General features: G+C 44.5%; 1 protein-coding gene across 2 annotated transcripts in view, besides 1 other annotated feature; it reads right to left on the bottom strand.

Annotated features, from left to right (window-relative positions):
- Positions 1-22,852, bottom strand: part of SORD (sorbitol dehydrogenase) — a 53,991-nt gene that overhangs the window by 24,747 nt on the left and 6,392 nt on the right. For both annotated transcript variants that reach the window (NR_034039.2, NM_003104.6), the window contains exons 2-3: positions 11,998-12,031; positions 9,018-9,182 (exon numbers count right to left, since the gene is read on the bottom strand). Coding sequence is in view for 1 of the 2 variants with exons in the window: in NM_003104.6 (NP_003095.2) it covers positions 9,018-9,182; positions 11,998-12,031 (199 nt within the window). In the remaining variant the exon portion in view is untranslated. The remainder of the gene's footprint in view (positions 1-9,017; positions 9,183-11,997; positions 12,032-22,852) is intronic.
- Positions 20,874-21,168: an enhancer, noted in NCBI's record as "tiled region #12640; K562 Activating DNase matched - State 5:Enh". NCBI's record gives its function as "activates a minimal TATA promoter and a strong SV40 promoter by Sharpr-MPRA in K562 cells {active_cell/tissue: K562}" and the evidence as "EXISTENCE:reporter gene assay evidence [ECO:0000049][PMID:27701403]".

The following is a 22,852-nucleotide window of genomic DNA, read 5'->3' as shown; positions in this document are numbered from 1 at the left end:
CTCCTACATCCCTCTATTAGGGACCAGGCTCCATGCCCCATCTGTAAACAGCAAAATTCCACCTTCAATAGTCAAGAGGAAGCCACCCTTGAGAGACAACTTTTAGCCTCAGTGCTGTCCCCATCCCCATCACAGGGAGAACAGCCATTCAATCCTTATGTTTGAGGCACCTGTTCTGCATCCAGCTACATTGGAGTCTCTGGCTAACAGACAATTGCTTCCTCACATATCAGGCTTTGCTGCTGGAAGGATCTACAGTCCACTTAATTGCCTAAGCCCAGCCACTTTCCTCCCAGAGGAAATTAGAGACTACTGAAAATAGATTTACATGCAAGGTGTGTAAGGAAAGTAAAATGTGTTTTGGTAAAAGATTATAAGAAGACATGGAAATGTAAATTTTGCCTAGAAATAAAGGATTGTTTTGAATTAGGTTAAGATAAAGCTGAAGGTTTGAGCAAGTTGTGGAAGCATTATAAAAATTAATCTTGCAAAGGAAATTCTGTGTCTGAATATATTGACTAAATTCAGAAGGGTATTCTATGTTTTTTACATAAATTGAGCATTGAAATAAAAGCACAACAAGGCTTTCTCGAGGCACTGATCTGCTCCTTAACAAAAATTTGTAGAGAGTTATAAAAGGTTTACAAGAATCTCACCTCATGATCAAACTGGGTAAGATTTGATAGAATTATCTCTAAGGTTTCATTAAAAAAGTTGGGGTTGACATTAATAGTAGACTAACGCAAGGGTGAAATTTGGCTTTCTCCTCTTGCACAGGATTTTCATGTAACATTAAAGACAGATTGTTTGGAAGCTAAGTCCTCCCTCTTAATGAGTGAAGGTTTTTGCCTTGTTTTAGAATGTTTTGGTCATGACTTTGGCTAAAATAAATAGTTTATAGTAATCCGTAATTGTACTTCATAATATCAAGTGCTTTGAACCGCTAACATATTTAACAGGCTCCCCCAAATCAAACTTCAGTTTCAAGGTTGTCTTTTCTAATCCCAAGCTTTTGGGTATTATAGCGGGCCCCTGGAGCATCCAAAAGAGAGGTAAACAGGAGTATTTGACATGTTTAGTTACGTGGGATTGCCAAAGTCATGTTTAATCTTCTTTAGGTTATATTTTAGTGAATAACATTATGTTCCAAAATTGTATAGAATATCTAAAATTCTAATGTCTGAGTATTTGCTATCAATCATAATTAAGGTTATTGTGTAAATTATTGTAAACCACAGAGATAACCAAATTTCTTTGTCAATTGTGTTTTTAACTGTAGCTACCCTGGATATTTTGTCATTCACAGACAATTGTTGTCTTGTTTTAATCATCTTCAAAAGATAGTTTATAATCAGCTATAGGACTTTGATAGGTGCTCTCAAATGCAGGTTTCTGATAACCTTGGAGATTGTGACATTGGAATAGAGGAAAAATGTATAGGACTCATGAAGAACTGAAATGTTCATGAATATCATGCAGAGCAAGTATTAATGGAATGGACTGAACTAATAGAAGACTGAACTAATCCTTTTTAACTTTCTGCTTAAAACATTGCTAATCCTTGTTTTTCAGAGTCAAGGGAATTTTTCTTTTGAGCTATCTACAGCTTTTAACAATTCAGTAATGTATACTCCTGTGAACAAAATTTGGAGTATGTTTGTTTCTTTCTGCCAGTTTCTCTAGACTTTGGAAACTATTTGTGAGTATTCTTGATTTATGGCAATATAGTTGTTTCCATCAGCGCAGTAAGAATCCATCTTCTTTTACAACAGGACACAACTGGAGAAACTAGTTGTTTTACCAAGGCTTTGACTGGAACAGTATGCTTCCCTTTAAAAAATCAAGCTGGAGTTGCAGAGCCAATAAATGCCCCTTGGGAAAACTGGCTTCATATCTTGTCTACACAGTCCCTGTACAGGATTCCTAAACTGTGGTGAGTAAAGAATGTCACTTTCTAACAGGCTCCATGTTCTTTTGACCTCAAGAAGAGAGGAATTTGCCCAACTCATAGGTATTTGAGTATACAAATCCATGGCTGGGCTCAGCTTTGAAAAGTAGGGCCAGGCGCGGTGGCTCATGCGTGTAATCCCAGCACTTTGGGAGGCTAAGGCAGGTGGATCACAAGGTCAGGAGATCGAGACCATCCTGGCTAACACGGTGAAACCCCATCTCTACTAAAAATACAAAAAATTAGCCAGGGCTGGTGGTGGGTGCCTGTAGTCCCAGCTACTCAGGAGGCTGAGGCAGGAGAATGGCATGAACCCAGGAGGCAGAGCTTGCAGTGAGCCAGATGGCGCCACTGCACTCCAGCCTGGGCGAGAGTGCGAGACTCCGTCTCAAAAAAAAAGAAAAGTCCTATCTGAAGTTCCTCGCAAAACAGAGTTTCATCAAAGCCAATTTTAAAAGCCTATGTAGAAATAATTATTCTTGCTGTACTTTATGCAAATAATCAGGCCAAGTATAAGACTAAAGTTTATTTTGCAAACAACTCAGTCTTACTGTGATTTGTTTTTGACAAAAGTGAGGACTGGCAAGAGAAAAATATGCTTCAAAACTTATCATACATTTGTCCATTAAATTCTAATCTCATTAGTTTTAAGTTTTTACTTAAAAACTTAGCCTACATTTTAGACTAACCATGCTTATTCCTGTGAACCAATCAGCGATCTCTGGCTGCAACTCAGAAGAAACAAAAGAGATCAGTAATATAAAAAATCTGGATCAATATTTTAATTCTGAGCAATTATCCTGCAAATCCTGCCAGATGATGGGAATGAATGGGCAGCCCATAACTCAGAGGTTTCCTTGTTTGGGAAAATAAGACCAAGGGAGCTAACCAAAGCCAAGTCCCATGCACCCAAATCTTGGCAGGCATAACTATAGCTGCCAGTTATCTGGGCACATTGTCAGCTTTGGGATTTTTGAGCTTTTCTTACCCCCTTGTCTTGTTTTGATATATGTCTTCTAATAACCCACATTGTTTTTTCTCGCCTAGAGGTTATCAAACTCCAAATGGTGATGCAAATGGAACCACACATAGACACACCTTTCTTCTGAGGACCCTTAGATAAGCCCCAGAAGGAACCCTGGCTGCTGTCCCCCACACAACCCCCACCTCCAGCAGAAAGTAGCCAGAGAGATTATCGCCCTACCTCCCTAACAGCAGTTAGAGTCTCCACTCCTGAGGTGGGAGATGAGGAACGAGAAAGAAAAAAACCAGTTAGGCACACAGTTAGGGCAGGTCCTTGGTGAAATGCTTTCCAACAAAAGAGCAGCCTGGAAAAATCAAGCTGCAGGCACAGATAAGGAAGCAAGGCCAAACATAGAAATGCCTCTGTTCTTCGGGTAATCAGTGGGCTCCCAGGAAAAAGTTTCCTCCCCTTTTCAGGCATGTACATGGTGGGCTCCATGGGAACTTGCAAGGGGGTGGGCAGGGGCTTGCCTAAAACATACTCGCAGTTGCTGAGAAAAGAGAAGCTGCACCCTGTGCTTGCCTAAGACATGCTCACAGCTGCACAGATAAGGGAAGCTACACACGCAGCTACACAGATAAGGGAAGTTACGTAGGCAGCTACATAGATAAGGGAAGTTTCTTATAAAAACCTTTGTATTCAACTGTGAAACAGCAACCCTCTTTTGCTGCCCCCTCCCTCCACCCCCGCTGCTGCTGAGAGCTTTCTTCTTTCACTTATTAAACTTTCGTTCCAACCTCACTCTTGGTGTCCACACTCCTTAATTTTCCTGGTCATGAGACAAAGAACTCTGGATAACACCTTAGACAGTGAGATTGCTATGTTGACCCTAGACTGCTTTACAAGTCGCTGGGACTATAGGTGCATGCCACCATGCCTGGGTGATTTTTGTTTTTGTTTTTGCAGAGACAGGGTTTTTCCATGATGCCCAGGTTAGTCTCAAATCCCCAGGCTAGTCTCAAACCCCCAGGCTCAAGCAATCCTCCTGCCTTGGCCTCCCAAAGTGCTGCGATTACAGGTGTAAGCCACCATGTCCATCTCTAGTTGTTTTTCATGACTATTTTGCCTCCTCATCAAGGATGGGAATGCCTCAGGATTAGTCAGTCTTCTGCTCCATATTTATTTTTCCATAGTGTCTACTGTTGTGCTAGACAAATTTTTATTGCTAAACATAGAATTTGTGGATTGGGGGAAAACAAACCATGGGACACAAATGTCATTAGTATCTAGAAGGGCATTACTTATTGGCAAAAATTTCCCCTGGAATGTGACAAGTAAAACCTGTTGGTTAAAGACAGTAGCACTTTTCTGTTGTAAAGGAAAGGGAGACAGGTAGGAATAATTGAGGACAAATAGTTATCCTGAGGTTTTGGGATGGTTTAGATGGTTCATCTTCATGCAGATACCCAGCCCTGTGTAGGGGAACTCCAAATACACTGTCAATACAGCAATGGCCTCCATGTTTGCAGAAAATAGAAAGCAGATTTACAGGGGATTTTAATATCACAGGTATTGCTACACATCAAAGTTACAATTGGATTTAAACTCCGTCTGAATCTGGGGAGTGACCCATACCAGCGAATCAGAGACCAAACTAGAAACCCTGGCAGACCCCCTGCCTGAGCCCAGACACTAACTCCACAGAGAACAGCAGAAATCTCCCCTTCTAGCAGCCAGGAACAAGCTGGAGACCAACACGGCTGAATGCCAGTGAGGCAGGAAGCCATGTGGCAGGAGCCAGGAAAGGACCCACAGGCCTTATCCTGCCTCAGTACCTGGTTATTCAGGAAAGGTCTGATGGATAGACTCCACTGGGAAGAGGTGCTTAAACCTACTACACAGAATAGAGTTTACCAATAATGGTGGGATCAAGTCCTGCCATTTACCAAATGCCCATTGTGTGCCAGGTACCAGGAAAGGCACATCACAAAATCTCCCTTCCCTCACCATAAACCAACAAGATGGTGTTATCTCTGCTTTAGCGATGAGGAAACAGAAGCTCAGGTGGTCACACAGTGATAAGCTGTGGAGATTTGACTGTCTGCTCACCTCTGTACTAGTGTTCGGGCCCTCTGGAGCCTGAAGAGGATGTTAGGAACCTGGTGAGGCCTGCTGAGGCCATGGAAGGTCTGGCCTTTATTCAGCAGGGAAATAATAAACAATTTTTCCTAAGTCTTTTTGTGTTGAAAGTACTCACAGAATAGTGTAGAGTCCTGGTACATAGTTAGTGCTCATTAAAATAAGTGGTGAAGGCTGGTCTGAAGGTAGTGCATCATCTTAATTGGTTGTTCATACTCAGTTACAGATAATACTCCTTGTTCTACTCTTTCCCCACTTCTCACTACTGCACTTGACTAGTCTTAAAAAAAAATAGGAATGCTTCCATGCCTTAGAGTTATTGACTTATATGTATGTATGTCTGTTTGTTTGTTTATTTATTTATTTATTTGAGACAGAGTCTTGCTCTGTCGCCCAGGCTGGAGTGCAATGGCATGATCTCAGCTCACTGCAACCTCTACCTCCCAGGTTCAAGAAATTCTCCTGCCTCAGCCTCCTGAATAGCTGGGATTACAGATGCATGCCACCACGTCTGGCTAATTTTTGTATTTTTAGTAGAGATGGGGTTTCACCATGTTGACCAGGCTGATCTTGAACTCCTGACCTCAAGTGATCTGCCTGCATCAGCCTCCCAAAGTGCTAGGATTATAGGTGTGAGCTATTATGCCCGGCTGACTTATATGTTTAAATTCTGTAAATGCGCATTAGGAAATATTTGATGAGTTGTGGTCTTCTTTCTAGATTAGTTGATTAGAATTTTAAGTCCAAGTTAACATATGAAAGACTTTAAATCCAAATTTTGTATCCTAAGGAAAGAAAAGGACCCACAGAAATCTTTATGACCACCAAAATATGTCTGTATTTAGCTGGGCATGGTGGTTTATGCCTATGTAAACCCAGCACTCTGGGAGGCCGAGGAGGGCTGATCACCTGAGGTCAGGAGTTTGAGACCAGCTTGGCAAACATAGTGAAACCCATTCTCTATTAAAAATACAAAAATTAGCCAGGTGTGGTGGTGCGTGCCTGTAATCCCAGCTACTCAGGAGGCTGAGGCACAAGAATCACTTGAACCTGGGAGGCTGAGGTTGCAGTGAGCTGAGATGGCACCACTACACTCCAGCCTGGACAACAGAATGAGACTTCATCTCGAAAAAATAAAATGTCTATATTTGTCTCTTCCTTCTATCTCCTCTGACTCCCTCTGCTTTCTCTCCTGTCCAGTGAACTTTCTGCAAATTATGCCTATGTCATTAAGGATGAATTCTTCCACCTAGCCTTCAAGATCCTCCATAATCAGGTGGAGTTTTCATATTATTCAGTTTTACCTTCTAATTATGATTATATTATGATAACATGACATTTCACAGTTTTACAGTGCTTTTTAAATTTTATTTTATTTTATTGTTTTGAGATAGAGTCTTGCTTTGTCACCCAAGCTGGAGTGCAGTGGTGCAATCATGGCTCACTGCAACCTCAACCTCCTGGGCTTAAGTGATCCTTCTGTCTCAGCCTCCTGAGTAGCTGGAAATGCAGGTGCACACTACCACACCCAGCTAATTCTATTTTTTGTAGAGACAGGGTCTCCCTCTGTTGCTCATGCTGGTCTCAAACTCCTGAGCTCAAGCAATTTTTCTGCCTCGGCCTCCCAAAGTGCTGAGATTACAGGTGTAAGCCACCATGCCCAGCCAAGTGCTTTTTAAAGGGGGACTTTTATAAAGATTATGCATGTTTATCATCTCCAATAACTCCCCAACACAAAACCTCTGCTCTGAGTAGCACAGACTTATCTGTACCCAGATGTGTTACTCTCATATCTGTAATTTTGTTGTTCACTTCCTCTTTTTTTTTTTTTTTTTTTTTTTTTGAGATGGAGTCTTGCTCTGTCTCTCACCAAGGCTGGAAAGCTGGCATGCAGTGGCACAATCTCAGCTCACTGCAACCTCCACCTCCTGGGTTCAGGCAATTCTCCTGCCTCAGCCTCCCAAGTAGCTGGGATTATAGGTGTGTGCCACCATGTCCGGCTAATTTTTCTATTTTTAGACAGAGTTTCACCATATTGGCCAGGCTGGTCTCAAACCCCTGACCTCAAGTGACCTGCCCACCACAGCTTCCCAAAGTGCTGGGATTACAGGCATGGGCAACTGCACCCAGCCATTCGCTTCCTCTTAACTAGAATATTAGCTCTGACCTCTTCAATAACTCAAATATAAAACCTTTCTCAAGTATGAAGATGCTGGGTAGCCCAGTGGTTCTGAGCACTTGCTCTAGAGTCCAAAAGACCAGGGTGGGTATCCCAGTTCTGAGACCAACTAGTGAGTGACCCTGGGCAATAACCAGGCTTCAATTTCTTCTTCAATTAATGAAGATAATAATGCCTATCTCATAGAATTGTTACAAGAATGAAATAAATAGCCCAGGTGCAGTGGCTCAGGCCCGTAATCACAGCAGTTTGGGAGGCAAAGGTGGGCAGATCACTTGAGGTCAGGAGTTCAAGACCAGCCTGGCCAACACGGTGAAGCCCAGCCTCTACCAAAAATACAAAAATTAGCCAGGCATGGTGCTGCATGTCTGTAATCCCAGCTACTCGGGAGGCTGAGGCACGGGAATCACTTGAACCAGGAGGTGGAGGTTGCAGCAAGGCGAGATTGCACCACTGCACTCCAGCCTGGGTGACAGAGCGAGACTCCGTCAAAAAAAAAAAAAAAAGAAAAAGAAAGAAAGAAAGAATTGTACATCTAAGTGTTTAACATGGAGACTAATGTAGCAAATCAATAAATATTAGCCACCTTCTTATTAATGTTACTACTGTTAGATGTCTAGCTCAAAGACCTATCTCCTCCATGAACTCTTTAACCACCTCTGCCCACAACAAATGCCCTTTGAACTCCTAAAGCCTATTCTTTCCCACACCTAATTGTACCCTATGGGCTTGCTGTCTAACTGCTGGTATTTATGAAGGGCCTGACATCTAGTGTTTCCATATAGAACTAAGCATCCAGGGATCATATCTGCTCATTTTTCTATATCCCTCAGGGCTCGTGGCATAAGACTGAGCTCATTGTGGACAACTGACTAAACCCTTGTTATAATTTACATTTACAGAACCCCACTCTTTGTTATAATTTATAGTCAGAGACTTTGTCCCACAGGTGAGAACCAATCATCAGTGGCTGTTGGAAGCTATAAACATTCCACTAGGAAATAACCTCATAACACCACAGGAGCCTTCTTGACTTCCACTAATGATGAATGACTTAACATCCCTAAACAAGACACATGCCTGACTGCTTCACAGCTGGTCAATCCCTCTCCATGTGGTTGGGCTCAGAGACCTTTATAACTAACACAGGATGGGGCCTCCTGTCAACCTCCACCTTCCCCCAAATAACGTGACCTTATTTCCGGGCTGCACAGCAGCCTCACCGGTAAAGGAAGGTTAAAGCCAACAGCTAACTATGCCAAGACAACTTGGATTTAATTCACGGTATCAGGGAACAACACAGCCTGCCACAGCTGAGAATTCCTCCCTCTGGAAAAATGAATTTAGTAAATCTAGGAAAAATAATGGTGGTTTCCCAGCCATCTAATAAAAAGCAAACATTATATCCAAGGCCGTGGTTCACAGCATGTAAAGGTAGTTTGGTTTCCTGTGCCTCAAATGTTTTCTCCAGCCCTTTACCTGGCTTATTTCTTACCTGGCTCCAGATGTTGGATTAATTGTCCCTTCCTCAAATGAACCAAGGGTCTGGGTAAAATACACTAATCACACCCTGCATTCTCCTCTACTGCCCTTAACACATGGTGACTAAGTAACTATCTGTCTGCTGCAGGTCCCTCTTTTCTTGTGTAAGGTAAGATCCATGTGAGTATGGAACAAGATTGTCTTGTTCCCTGCTGTACCCAGAGCTTAACAGAGGGCCTGGCCCAAAGAAAGCATGCACACATATTTATGTTGAATGAACACATAAGTCGAAGGACCTTGCTGACCTGGTTTTAGGTGCTTTACCGATGATCCCACTTTTTCGACTGTTCCCGAAGCTTCATGTCCCAGCACCATGGGCTTTTTCACAATAAAATTCCCAATTCGACCATACTCCCAGTAGTGGACATCTGAGCCACAGATTCCAACAGAATGCATCCTCAGCAAGACCTCTGATAAAAGAAAGGAAGAAAAAAACAGTGAGAGAGGGAACAACCCCTATCACTCTGAGGTGACCTAGTGATTTCCCTTTGCCCAGGGTAGAGGGCTGGGTTACCAGGCCAGGTACACAATTTAGGCCACAGAGGAAATCAAGCTCCATAGCAACCCTGATTAAGTCTCGCAAGGCAAACAAGCTTCCACATGTGGTGGCTAATTTTATGTGTCCACTTGGCTAGGCTATAGTGCCTGGTTGTTTGAAGATACGTGTTGGGCATGGTTAACTTTTAAACCAATAGACTTTGAGTAAAGTAGATTACCCTCCATAATGTGGGTGAGCCTCATCCAATCAGTTTGAAGGTCTTAAAGGCAAAGACTGAGGTTTTCTGAAGGAGAAGGAATTCTCCTCAAGACTGCAACATCAACTCTTACCTGAATTTCCAGCCTGCCCTTTGTACACATACACACATACATACATACACATATATCTTAGTGGTTTTGTTTCTCTGGACAACACTAACCAATACACTGGGTAAACAATATATCATTAGTAGGATGAAATGTACCAACCACTTAAGAGAACAAACTATTTTCCAAAAGATAACTTTCCAGACAATTAATATGCTACGCGTGATTCGTGGATTCGTATCTATTTATGAGAAAAGGTCTGGTAGAATCTCAGCTTGGCAACATTTTGTGAACTATCAAGTTGAGTTCTTCATGCCTATTGTTTTCTTTCCTTTATTTATTTATTTATTTATTTATTTATTTTTTATTTTTAGACAGAGTCTCCCTCTGTCGCCCAGACTGTAGTGCAATGGCAGGATCTTGGCTTACTGCAATCTCCACCTCCCCGGTTCAACCAATTCTCCTGCCTCAGCCTCCCAAGTAGCTGGGATTACAGGTATGCGCCACCACGCCCGGCTAATTTTTGCAGTTTTAGTAGAGACGGGGTTTCACCATGTTGGCCAGGCTGGCCTTGAACTCCTGACCTCAGGAGATCCGCCTGCCTCAGCCTCCCAAAGTGCTGGGATTACAGGCCTAAGCCACCGCGCCTGGCCAGTTTTCTAAGTTTAAAATAAAGATGGTACTGAGCCCCTTTGGTGAAATAAGTACCAATAAGTACCATCATCTCTGACTCAGATGATGGTTATGAATACCTCCCTGAAAAAAACACTCTGCCTTAGAAAGACAAAGAGACCCAAATCTCTGCTATGCACTGCACTTGCCACAGACTGCCAGGGGTGGCTCTTCAGAACTTTCTTCCTCCTTAGTTTTAGTGAAGAGTAAGAAATGGCAGGGTGAATTCTCAGGTCAAATGCAGGGAAAAGGCATTTGAGTTAGGAAAATCATCTCAGAATTTCCTCTCTTGAAGTAGCAATTGGTAGTGAGAGATTAGATTTGACTTGCTAGAACACTCGCTGAAATGCACTCTTTTCCCTTCCAATGCAAGTGTAGCAAGAGACGAGAGTGCAAGCAGAATGCTGCTTCAGGGAGAAAAGCTGTTACCAGGAGCCAAGCTTGTACTCTGTGTCCAAGACAGCCCTCGTTTGGCCACTTCTGGAATCAACGGTCAACTTTTCAGGACACAGTGAGGTAACTCTTTCACTTCTCTGAACATGGTATCTTGGTGAAAATCCTTGAACCCTAACTATACAATACTTACTCAGCACCCATAGAATGGCTATATTCTATCTAGTCTGTATTCTTACCACTTACAAGTCGATAACACAACTGACCTTTCAGTAGCAAAGCTGTGGATCTACCAGGAAAGCCGCCTTTGATCTGATGTTCACCCAGAAGCTGCGGTTCTGGTGTGAGGTAGGACAAAGTGGGAAAGGACACCCCCAACTCCTCAAGGGCAGAAAGGGGACCTGACTGTCTAGGTGTGAGAGGGGGAGGGTGAGTATCTACAGACACTCTGACCATTGCCCCCAGCCTCACTTCAGGGTCCTGCATGATTATGACAAAGTGGAATTCCAGGGATGGGAGGGATTAGAAAGCTGTCAGCAGGGATCTGCCCGAGCCAACAGACAAAAAGAGATGGAAATGTTCACAGCACCTGCCATGTGCAGACGGTGGGCTGGGCTTTATCCTCACCATAGCACTCAGTTTGTACATGAGAAACCCAAAGCTGGGAAGTTGCAGATGCCACCTTGGGCGTCAGCATGTCAGCTAAGCCCCACAGGCTTAGCAAGTGAGAGGCCTAGAAGGAGTGGAGTAAAGGTGTTGGAAACCCTGCCCCAGTGTGCTCACTCACTTTCTGTGCTTGGTTGATTAGGGCAGGGGACAGGGACCCATGCAGCACCTCCCACCCCCACTGGACAGTAGGTCCTGGGCTGCCCCACACTTTGGTGACTGGCCTTCCTGGGGAGTGGGGAAAGCTGGCATGATGCTCCCTTTGCTAAAGATTAAGTTCTGTAGACTCACTCCTTTTCAAAGTTTGGGTTAGGGTTAGGACACTTGGCCACTCCAACAGCAGCTTCTGGTAGATAGGGTACACTGTCATTAGGTCAAAAGAGGAAGAATTCTGTCATTGGTCCATATACTTCACATCAAAAACTCTTTGGGACAAGTCAGCAGTCTGGTACGGTAATTTTTCTGATTCTATCACTGTTCTTTTATTTCATGTAGCAGCCAAGATAAACTTCCCACCAGGTCATGCTGTGGGCAGTAGACTCTGTTCTCAGCCTAACAAAAGCATAGGTTTTTAATGGATGCAAAAGTAATAAACAGTTGGAAAAGAGAGGTAAGGGAACAATATACATGTGACTCCAAAGGAAACAACAGGAAATAATAAAATATAAGTCATGTTTCCCAAGAACTTACCATTTGGGCCTGGTTCAGGGATAGGATAGTTCTCCTAAAAGAAACAAAATTGAAAAAATCATTTAGCATGCATAAGAACTTCACCTTATGAACATTTTCCATTAAAAACAATTAGAGTTTCATCAATAGTTTATTTCTTCTTAGAATTAACACAAGCTCAGACCACACTGCTCCTGGGTGCATGCCTGAGGGGATACGCTAAATGGCACGCTGCACACACCTGCCTAGCCCTTCGTCACTTTTCTGCATAACACAGTGACGGACCCAACAGCAGCATGCCCAGCATACTCATAGAGCATACAGAGGACCACACTTGTTGTCAGTAGTGACATGTCACAGGGTGAGATGAAGTTCTGACGCTGGGTTCCCTCCCTAGGAAACAGCCTACAAGCCAAAGGCCAATCCTAACTGAGGAAGAGCTGACTCTAATTGCTGACCTCATCCCACCCACTGGTGCAACTTCGCCAGGACTAAGGAAAAAGCACAGTCCATGTAACTCTAGGCAGAAGGGATCTTTGGGTTTCTAGATCTGCCATCTATATCAGATCCTGCCTTCCTGGAAAAACATGTTCTTAGATACAGATTTGTTTGGTCTGACAAACTCCTCCAGGGAAAGGATGCAGGCGTTTCTGACAGTTGCACGTGAGGATGTTTCCCGCTAGACAGGTAGGAGAAAGTGTCTGTGCTGCCAACCTCTTTCCTTTACATCAGCACAAAGACTGATACCTGGTCCTCTTTTCCTAAACTTCCCATGTGGCATTTGAGGGGCCCCTTGGGAACACATAAGACCTGCATTTTGGCCCCTCTCACAGGTTCAAAAGCAATCTGAGCTATTCTGGTGTTCACAGCTAGTAGTAGTAGCAGTAGCAGCAGTAGTTGTAGTAGTGTTGGTTTACTAAGCCTTCTTTCCTCATTGTCAACGGGCTAGGAAAGTCCTAGTGACAAGGAAGGCCACTGAGTGGCCAAATCCAAGTGTTCATTTTATTCTTTGAAGGTAATCAAGAAAAGAGATGTACCCGGGCACAGTGTCTCATGCCTGTAATCCCAGCACTTTGGGAGGCTGATGCGGGCGGATCACTTGAGGTCAGGAGTTTGAGACCAGCCTGGCCAACATGGTGACACCCATCTCTACCAAAAATACAAAAATTAGCCGGGCGTGGTGGCACGCGCCTGTAGTCTCAGCTACTCAGGAGGCTGAGGCAGGAGAATTGCTTGAACCCAGGAGATGGAGGTAGCAGTGAGCCCAGATTGTGCCAGTGCACTTCAGCCTGCGTGACAGGGTAAGATTCTGTCTCAAAAAAAAAAAGGAAGAGAGAGAGATGGAAATGTTCACAGAACCTGCCATGTGCCAGACAGTGGGGTGGACTCTATCCTCACCATAGCACTTAGTTTGGAAATGAGAAATTCGAAGCTGCGAAGTTAAATAACTTGGTCAAGGTCATGCTACCAGAGAGTGGATGAAGCCTGCTTCCACTGTGCCCTACTGTAGCCCCAAGGTGGAATTTGTCTTTTCTCCTTCAGGGGTGGTGCAAAGAGATGCCAAACAAGTGATGAGAATGTCAGAGCTGGGCCCCATGAAGAAAACTCTGGGAGGAGGCACTGTCAAAGCTTACCTCCTTCCAAAAGGGCCTAACTAGCTACTTTCATAGGCAGCCCCACCGCACTAAACAACACCAAAGGGCACTAGACAAATGCTGCTCGGTACTATCACTGTGCTTAGTGATCAGTGGCTTTTTACTTTTCCTAACAAGATAATAAATACCTTGAAGCCAAAGACCATGCCTTCCATCGCTTTAGCATCAGGTACACTGCTTGTCCCTAAACTCAAGTGTTTGTACTTGTTAAATAACCACTATCCAAACTAGTGTTTCCAAGGAAGGTCAGAGGTTTTCACTTATGTCAAGTTACGAGCCCTTTCTGTTGAAGAGGTTCAGTGCTAATTTGAACCTCTTCTCCTGTGAAACAAAGCTCAAAGCTTTAATGTTATTGCTGCCTAGCTGACATTGCTCAATGGCTTCTTTGTGGCAGGTACTGTGTGCTTTATAGGCATTACCTCATTTAATACTCGGAAAAACCCTACATGGTACATCCTACTATTGTCTCTTTTTCATGTGATGAGACTGAGGAACCCACCCATGGTAACACTAAGGCAGTAAATGGTGGAGCTGCATCCAAAGCAGCCCGATGGGGGCAAAAGGGCTTAAGGGAGTCTTTTTATCTTTTAATAATTTAGACTGGCTACATCAGAAGGAAGGAAGGAAGGAAGGAAGGAAGGAAGGAAGGAAGGAAGGAAGGAAGGAAGGAAGGAAGGAAGGGAGGATGCGAGGGAAGGAAGTAATCAGTCTAGAAATAGCCACCTCAAGATAGCTGATTGTCACCAAAACCTTCCTCAAAGTTGTTGCTGGTCCCACATCAGACATCAGGGACCGCTGTGTAAAGTGATCCTTCTGTTATACCACGTGGATTTTTTTTTTTTTTTACTTTAAGTTCTGGGATACATGTGCAGAACCTGAGGTTTGTTACATAAGTATACATGTGCCATGCTGGTTTGCTGCACCTATCAACCTGTCACCTAGGTTTGAAGCCCCACATGCATTAGGTATTTGTCCTAATGCCCTCCCTCCCCTTGTCCCCCACCCCCTGACAGGCCCTGGTGTGTGATGGTCCCCTCCCTGTGTCCATGTATTCTCATTGTTCAACTCCCACTTATGAGTGAGAACATGTGGTATTTGGTTTTCTGTTCCTGTGTTAGTTTGCTGAGAAGGATGGCTTCCAGCTTCATCCATGTCCCTGAAAAAGACATGATCTCATTCTTTTTTATGGCTGCATTATACTGCGTGAAATGTTAAACTGCAGGTTAAATTGAAACTAAAGACTAAGGTCTTTATTTCAAACATGGGAGAGCACCCCACCCTCCCTGCTAAAGGCACTAGTAGGCAAATTCACAGACACTGAAAGACAGTTCCACAGCATACAATTCATAGCCTTGCCTCCAGCCTGGCCAGACCTGAACGCCCCATTTCGAGGTGGAGAGGTGGTAAGACTAAAGCTTAGAACAACAGTCAGGCACACCAAATAGGCCCTGGGTCACTAGAGAGAACACTACTGTAAATATTTATTCAAGTTAACAGAGCTGAACAGCTGTGCTCGTACCACACAGCAAAGCTGCAGTGACTCTCCCAGACACGAGAGGGTGCTGTGCCCACAGCCTGTGCTGTGCCTGTAGCAGAACACGCTTGATGGAGAAGTTCAAATAAATTCCTCTCCCTGCACACCAACTTTCTTTTTCCATTCTTTTTCTGGCTGATTCTAATTACCCTTGCAACTCAGGCTTGTCTCCTGCCTCCTGTCTCTGTAGGAGACATGCTACCTGAGCACAAAACCATTTTAACATCAGCCTGTAGGTTTGTAAATATTGCCCTAAGCACACTGTGGAGACTACAATGTTTTAGAAAGTTATTACAGCATGGTTGCTCAAAACCTTGCTTTTCATGTTTCCTTGCCATGATGTTGGCCACAATCCTCTGTTTGCTTAATCTTTTTCTGTCTCAGATACTCTTCCATTTATCCTATTTCTCATCTACCAAAGTTTCTTAGTTTCTCTGAGATCCTGAACTTTCACTTTTATCTCCACAGCTCTTTTTTTTCTCATTCCCAAAGGTTTTGTCATCTCAATCATATTAAAGGTTTCCTAAACGAATTTCTTTCATTTATTTATTTTTTGTAACTCATCAGCAGTCCCTGATGTCAGATGTCACTGCACTCAGGCTACAGTGCAGTGGCACGATCTCGGCTCACTGCAGCCTCAACCTCCTGAACTCAAGTGATCCTCCCATCCTCCCACCTCAGCCTCCCAAGTAGCTGGGATTACAGGTGCATGCCACGCTGCGTGGCTAATTTTTTTTTATTTTTGGTAGAGACGGAGTTTCACCATGTTGGCCAGGCTGATCTCGAACTCCTGGCCTCAATTGATCTGCCTGCCTCTGCCTCCCAAAGTGCTGGGATTACAGGCGTGAGCCACTGTGCCTGGCCGAATTTCTTATCTTTTAATGAGTGACTACAAGAGGACTAAAAGGAATTGAGTAATTCTTCTTTACCATAGTTGTGTGAGTTTTCCAGAATATTTCACTTCAAGTCAGAAATACATATCTTAATCACATATATACTCCTCTCTTTGTGTCCGGAATTGGTGGGTTCTTGGTCTCACTGACTTCAACAATGAAGCTGCGGACCCTCGCATTGAGTGTTACAGTTCCTAAAGGGGGCGTGTCCGGAGTTTGTTCATTCTGATGTTCGGATGTGTTCGGAGTTTCTTCCTTCTGGTGGGTTCGTGGTCTCGCTGGCTCAGCAGTGAAGCTGCGGACCTTCGCGGTGAGTGTTACAGCTCTTAAGCCAGCGTTTCTGCAGTTGTTTGTTCCTCCCGGTGGGTTCGTGGTCTCCCTGGCTTCAGGAGTGAAGCTGTAGACCTTCGCCGTGAGTGTTACAGTTCTTAAAGGCGACGTGTCCGGAGTTTGTTCCTTCTGATGTTCAGATGTGTTCGGAGTTTCTTCCTTCTGGTGGGTTCGTGGTCTCGCTGGCTCAGGAGTGAAGCTGCAGACCTTCGCGGTGAGTGTTACAGCTCTTAAGGCGGCGCGTCTGGAGTTGTTCGTTCCTCCCGGTGGGCTCGTGGTCTCGCTGGCTTCAGCAGTGAAGCTGCAGACCTTCACGGTGAGTGTTACAGCTCATAAAGGCAGTGTGTACCCAAAGAGTGAGCAGTAGCAAAATGTATTGCAAAGAGCGAAAGAACAAAGCTTCCACAGTGTGGAAGGGGACCCCAGCGAGTTGCCACTGCTGGCTCAGGCAGCCAGCTTTTATTCTCTTATCTGGCCCCACTCACATCCTGCTGATTGCTAGAGCCCAGTGGTCTGTTTTGACAGGGTGCTGATTGGTGCATTTACAATCCCTGAGCTAGACACAAAGGTTTTCCACCTCCCCCCCAGATTAGCTAGATACAGAGTGTGGATTGGTGCATTCATAAACCCTGAGCTCGACACAGGGTGCTGATTGGTGTGTTTACAAACCTTGAGCTAAATACCGAGTGCCGATTGGTATATTTACAAGCTCTGAGCTAGACATAAAGGTCCTCCAAGTTCCCACTAGACTCAGGAGCCCAGCTGGCTTCACCCAGTGGATCTCGCACTGGGGCTGCAGGTGGAGCTGCTTGCCAGTCCCGCACCGTGCGCCCACACTCCTCAGCCCTTGGGTGGTCGATGGGATTGGGCGCCGTGCAGCAGGGGGCGGCACTCGTCGGGGAGGCTCAGGCTGCACAGGAGCCCACGGAGTCGGGGGAAGGGTCAGGCATGGCGGGCTGCAGGTCCCGAGCCCTGCCCCGCGGGAAGGCAGCTAAGGCCCGGCGAGAAATCGAGCGCAGCGCCGGCGGGCCGGCACTGCTGGGGGACCCAGCACACCCTCCGCAGCCGCTGGCCCGGGTGCTAAGCCCCTCATTGCCCGGGAACCGCAGGGCCGGCCGGCTGCTCTGAGTGCGGGGCCCGCCAAGCCCACGCCTACCCGGAACTCCAGCTGGCCCGCAAGCGCGGCGCGAAGCCCCGGTTTCCGCTCGCGCCTCTCTCTCCACACCTCCCTGCAAGCTGAGGGAGCCGGCTCCGGCCTTGGCCAACCCAGAAAGGGGCTCCCACGGTGCAGTGGTGGGCTGAAGGGCTTCTCAAGTGCCGCCAAAGCGGGAGCCCAGGCAGAGGAGGCGCGGAGAGCGAAGAGGGCTGTGAGGACTGCCAGCACGCTGTCACCTCTCACCTTCTATCCCCTTCAGCTGCTCCCGCTGCCCTACCAGCCCACTCCTGAAGTAACTCATGGAAATACTTCAGGAAGTACTCTCTGCGGGGACATGGAATCATCTCAGGTACCTCTCACATACTAAATGTTATCTTGCTTTTCCTAAATACATTTTTTTACATTAGCCTAAATATATATTTCCTAGCTATGTCGTCATTGGTCCCTTTTCCTCTACTTCCACCTGCATAACTGAGTTGATTCCCTCAACACGTCTTGCTTGGGTTGTAGCAACAGCCTCAACACAAGCAGAAATGGAAGGAAGATGCCTTTTCCCTCCTCCAGCCAACCTGAGTGGCACAGTGAACTCAGATTCTGGAACTGCCTGTCAACATGCAACCCAGGCTTCCCCCACCAGCTGCGTGACCTCAGGGTAGTTATGTAACCCCTGTGTGCCCCAATTTCCTCCTTCATATAATGATAATCATGAAAGGGAATGCCGACTCAGTAAATACATTCACTCTTATTACAAAAGAAGTAAAATCAAAGTTCTTTTTCCATAATTAGTTCACACTATGGTTGAACCAACCCTGGACAATCTTGTCCTTTTGATAAGAGTAAAGCATGTTAAATAGAAATTACAGGAGGCCACTGTTTTGCTCCTGCACAGCGCCCCAAGAGAACAGAATTAAAAACCCAAAATGGAGCCACTCATACTAAAGTTCCACATCATCAAAGCAAAACTAAGTTCTTATATGACCTTCCGAGAAATCAGGAGAGATAATAGCCAAATATCCCAAACAGGCCAGTTTCAGTCAGCATGATAATAAAGTTCCCTCTACTTTAATCCTTACCAAAAAATAAAAAATAATGACCTGAAGAAACCTGATCTTAACCAATCAGTTATTTTTCTGTTGTTCTATTTCCCTGTTCTCACCTTACAAGGAAAATAACCGAAATGACCAATCTGCTTTTTCTTGTGTTTCTGCTTTCTTTAGCTCTTTTCTGTTTGTAAAACCAACCTCCTCTGTTTACCTCACTGGAACACAGGCTATTTTATGGAATGAAGTGTTGCCCAATTCTAGAATTGCAAATAAAGCCAAAGAAAATCTTTTAAATTAAATTGCAGTCATTTTATCTTTTGACAAGTATTTTAAATTATTTTGTGGAAAAGTTGTGTTCTGCATCCTGGATTCAACCAAACCTGAGGTCAAAAATATTCAAAAAATAAAAAACAGCAATACAACAATAAAACATAATGCAAATGAATAATATTGTATAACAATTATTTACAGAGCATTTACATTGTGTTAGGTATTAGAGGTAATCTAGGGGGATTTAAAGTAGATGGGAGGATGCATGTAGGTTATATGCAAATACTAGACCATTTTATTACATACAAGGGACTTGAGAATCCTTGGATTCTGGCATCCACAAAGGGTTCCTGGAGCCAATCCTTCCCCTACTCCAGGATACCGAGGACAACTGTATTCTCATGGTTTTCATATCAACATTAAGAAAATCTGACCACTCTACAAGGCTGGCATTTGGAAGAAAGTGAAGGGATTCTAGCAGTTTTTAGGCTTGACTCTGCCAGTTGTGGAAAGAGTGCAATGTGCTCCCACTGTCTTCGGGTGGGGGACAGCTAGCAGTGTGTGGGGAAAGTGCTGGTCTCATCCCAGATGCACAGCAGTCACCTGCTCCCTGCTGCCAAGCCTCCTGTGGGCCTGTGGAGGGCTGCCCTGCACACCTGCAGGGCGCAAGAGACCCTGTTTTTCTTCCTTTCCTCTTCCATTTTCCCTTTCCCTTGAGTGCCTGAAGCGTGTTTTAAGGGTGGGAGGAAAATTCAAAGGTTTCCCAATTGGCTATTTTGTCATGAGAGGCTTTGTTCTAGCTGTGTTGGTCCTGGCAAACTTGAGGTCAAAGTAGGAGGTAGAATTTCCTCCCAAGGTCCAGTGAGCTGGTCTCCAGCCCAAGCTCTCCTGGCTCCATTCAACTTTGTTCTGCTGATAACAATCTTGCTGAAATGCAAATCTGTATCAAGTCACCAGTGACCCTGGAGACTCCTAAACCCCTCACCTGGTGGCCACCACACCCCCATCTCACTTCCAACTACACCCATTTCCCATTGCCTAATCCCTCTCCTTCTTTCAGATCCCGCAGGAGGTGGGAATTGAGGCATCTGGGATGACTTCTGAATTCCTACAAGAATTACGAGACACTTAGGTTTGGACATGCTGGGACTGAGGTGTCTTGGGACATCCAGGTAGGGCTATTGATATATAATAATGTTTTGTGATTCTAAATGTCTCAAAATGGAGTCTTTTTTTCCTTCTAGTTATTGTTTTATAAAAATATATTGTGGTAAAATACATAACATAAAATTTACCATCTTAAATCTTTTTAAGTGTATAATTCAATATTGTTGTCTATATTCACATTGTTATACAACAGATCTCTAGAATTTCACATCTTGTAAACCTGAAACTGAATACCTGTTAAGTAACAACTGCCCATTTTACCCCCTCAGCAGCCCTTAACAAACACCATTCTACTTTTTGTGAGTTTGGCTACTTATTTCATATAAGTGGAATCATACACTATCTGTCACTTTGTCACTGGCTTGTTTTTATTAACATAATATTCTCAAGGTTTATTTTTAACACAGCATGTGACAAAACTTTTTTCAGGGCTGAATAATATTCCACTATATATCTATATGCCACATTTAAAAAATGTTCATTACTTGAATAACATCTGGGTTGTTTCCACCAACAAAATGGAGTCACAATGATAAGTGACTCAGCTCACAGTGAAACTGCTGACTGCTCAAAGTGATAAGCATATGTATGTAGGACTGAGATGACAACACCTGCTGTGGCCAGGCAACCCCAAAACTTGATAAGAAAGGGAAGCCAAGGCCAGGCGGGATGGCTCACACCGGTGATCCCAGCACTTTGGGAGGCCGAGGCAGGTGGATTGCTTAAACTCAGAAGTTCCAGACCAGCCTGGGCAACATGGTGAAACCCTGTCACCAAAATTAATTTTATAAAATAAAATAAGAAAGTGAAGCCAAAAGATGGCTAAGTTATGACAATGGACATTCCTATGCAGGGTATAAAAACAGCAAAGAAAGTGACCATGGCCGAGAGCCTGTAGAAGCTCTGCCCGTGAGAACTCTGAGGCCTCCTCACGAACAGAGGCTGCCATAAGTTCTGCTGGGAGAAGAACAGCAACAACACTCCTCCCACTTTGTTGTTTCAAGGGAAATCCAAATCTGTTCATCAGTCAGCGTGCTGGTCTCTGGAGCTACTTGCCACGGTTCATTCCCTGTTGTTTTTTTTTTTTTGTCGTTGTTGTTGTTTTAAGAGATGGGTTCTCATTCTGTAGCCCAGGCTGGCACATTAATAGCTCACCACAATCTCGAACTCCTGGGCTCAAACGATCCTCCTACTTCAGCCTGCTGAGTAGCTGTGACTACAGGAGTGTGCTATCACACCCGGCTACTTTTTACATTTTTTGTAGAGACAAGGTCTTTCCCAGGCTGGTCTCAAACTCCTGGCCTCAAGTGATCCTCCCACCTCAGCTTCCCAAAGTGCTGAGATTACAGGTGTGAACCACCATGGCTGCCCCGACCTCCCCTATCACTGCCTGTGTGTGTTGAATATATTTGCATGATCGTTGGTATGTGAAAGCCTCACATTTAATTGGCCATTGAGTTATTGTGAAACCTCTGGGCTCCTGGTCGGAGTCAGCACAAGTAGGCTGGAACCTGACATGACAGCTGTTCAACAGGCAGTTGGTTACTGGGACTGGTGCTCAGGCATCACCTCCTGCAAGAAGCCTCCCCTGTCCTCACCAGGCTGGAGAGGTGACTCCTTTCTCTCCTTTGCACTTCTCCAGCACCTAGCATTGAATCCACACAGGATAGTTAAGGACTATTTAATTTTCATCAGGGATAAATATATTAAAATTTCCTCCTAATTCAAAGTGTATGAACATAACCATACATGATCTTATTAAATGGTTCTATATATGGAGCAAAAATTCTAAGTCTCTGAGCTTTGTCAGATGCTCTAGTCTGTTCGTGATCTTGATAAGTGCTCACTGTGTTCGGGTCTATGTAATTGAATATTTCTGTGTTTTTTAAAATTGTTGAGTTGAATATTACTTTGCAAAATTTGAATGTATTTTCCCTGGTAATTAATGTTCTTAGTGCAAACCTGATTTGGGGAAAACTGCCAGCTTCAACAGCCACACTAAAAGACTTCTAAGTTAGATGCTAATATTGTATCTACGTGTACATATTTCTCCTCCTTCTTAATTTCTGTTGTGCAGTTTTAAAGAGAAATTTCCCCTACATCCATAATTCTAGGGTCTCCCCTTAGAATAGGGCTGCTTTTATGGAATGGTAAAATCCTATTTGTGATATTGCTTGCTTCTTCTCCTGCTTTTGATAGCAAAAGGAGGTGGCCAAATGCCTAGGCAGATAGGGGTGGGTACCCAGTGAAATTCCACCTCCAAGTAGAAGACAGTTTAAAGCCGGAAAGCCAAGCTACAAGTTAAATCCTGGGACTGGATCAAGAACTTGTCTTCCTGTTTGGACGCTTTCCTCTGATTGATCCCCACCCTTCACCTATTTTACATATACCTAACCTTTCCTAAGTAGTTTTCTACACTGTTTTGCCCACCTTTGCATGGTGTCTTCACGTTAACCTTTTTTGCATACTCACAAACCCATCAATACGCACTTCCTATCCTGTGCCTATAAAGATCCCAGACTCAGTTGGTAGAGGGGGAAATGACCTGACTTCGGGGAGGAGACAACCTGACTTCTGGGAAGATGACCTGCCCTTCCCATCCCCTCTCCAGTTCCCTTCTCTGCTGAAAGCCATTTTCATTGCTCAGTAAAATTCTCCACCTTCACCATCCTTCAATCATCTGCGTGACCTCATTCTTCTTGGACACTGGACAAGAGCTCAGGGCCCACCAAGTACAGGTACCCAGAAAAGGCTGTCAAACTGGCCCTTTGCCCCTCACCAGTGGCATGCCCCGTGCAGCGAGGCAAGGGGCCAACTGAGCTGCTAAC

This window comes from Homo sapiens, chromosome 15, assembly GCF_000001405.40.
Source record: "Homo sapiens chromosome 15, GRCh38.p14 Primary Assembly".
In the NCBI taxonomy this organism is placed as follows: domain Eukaryota; kingdom Metazoa; phylum Chordata; class Mammalia; order Primates; family Hominidae; genus Homo; species Homo sapiens.
Note: the sequence above shows the minus strand (reverse complement) of the source record. Positions and strands in the feature narration are given on the sequence as shown.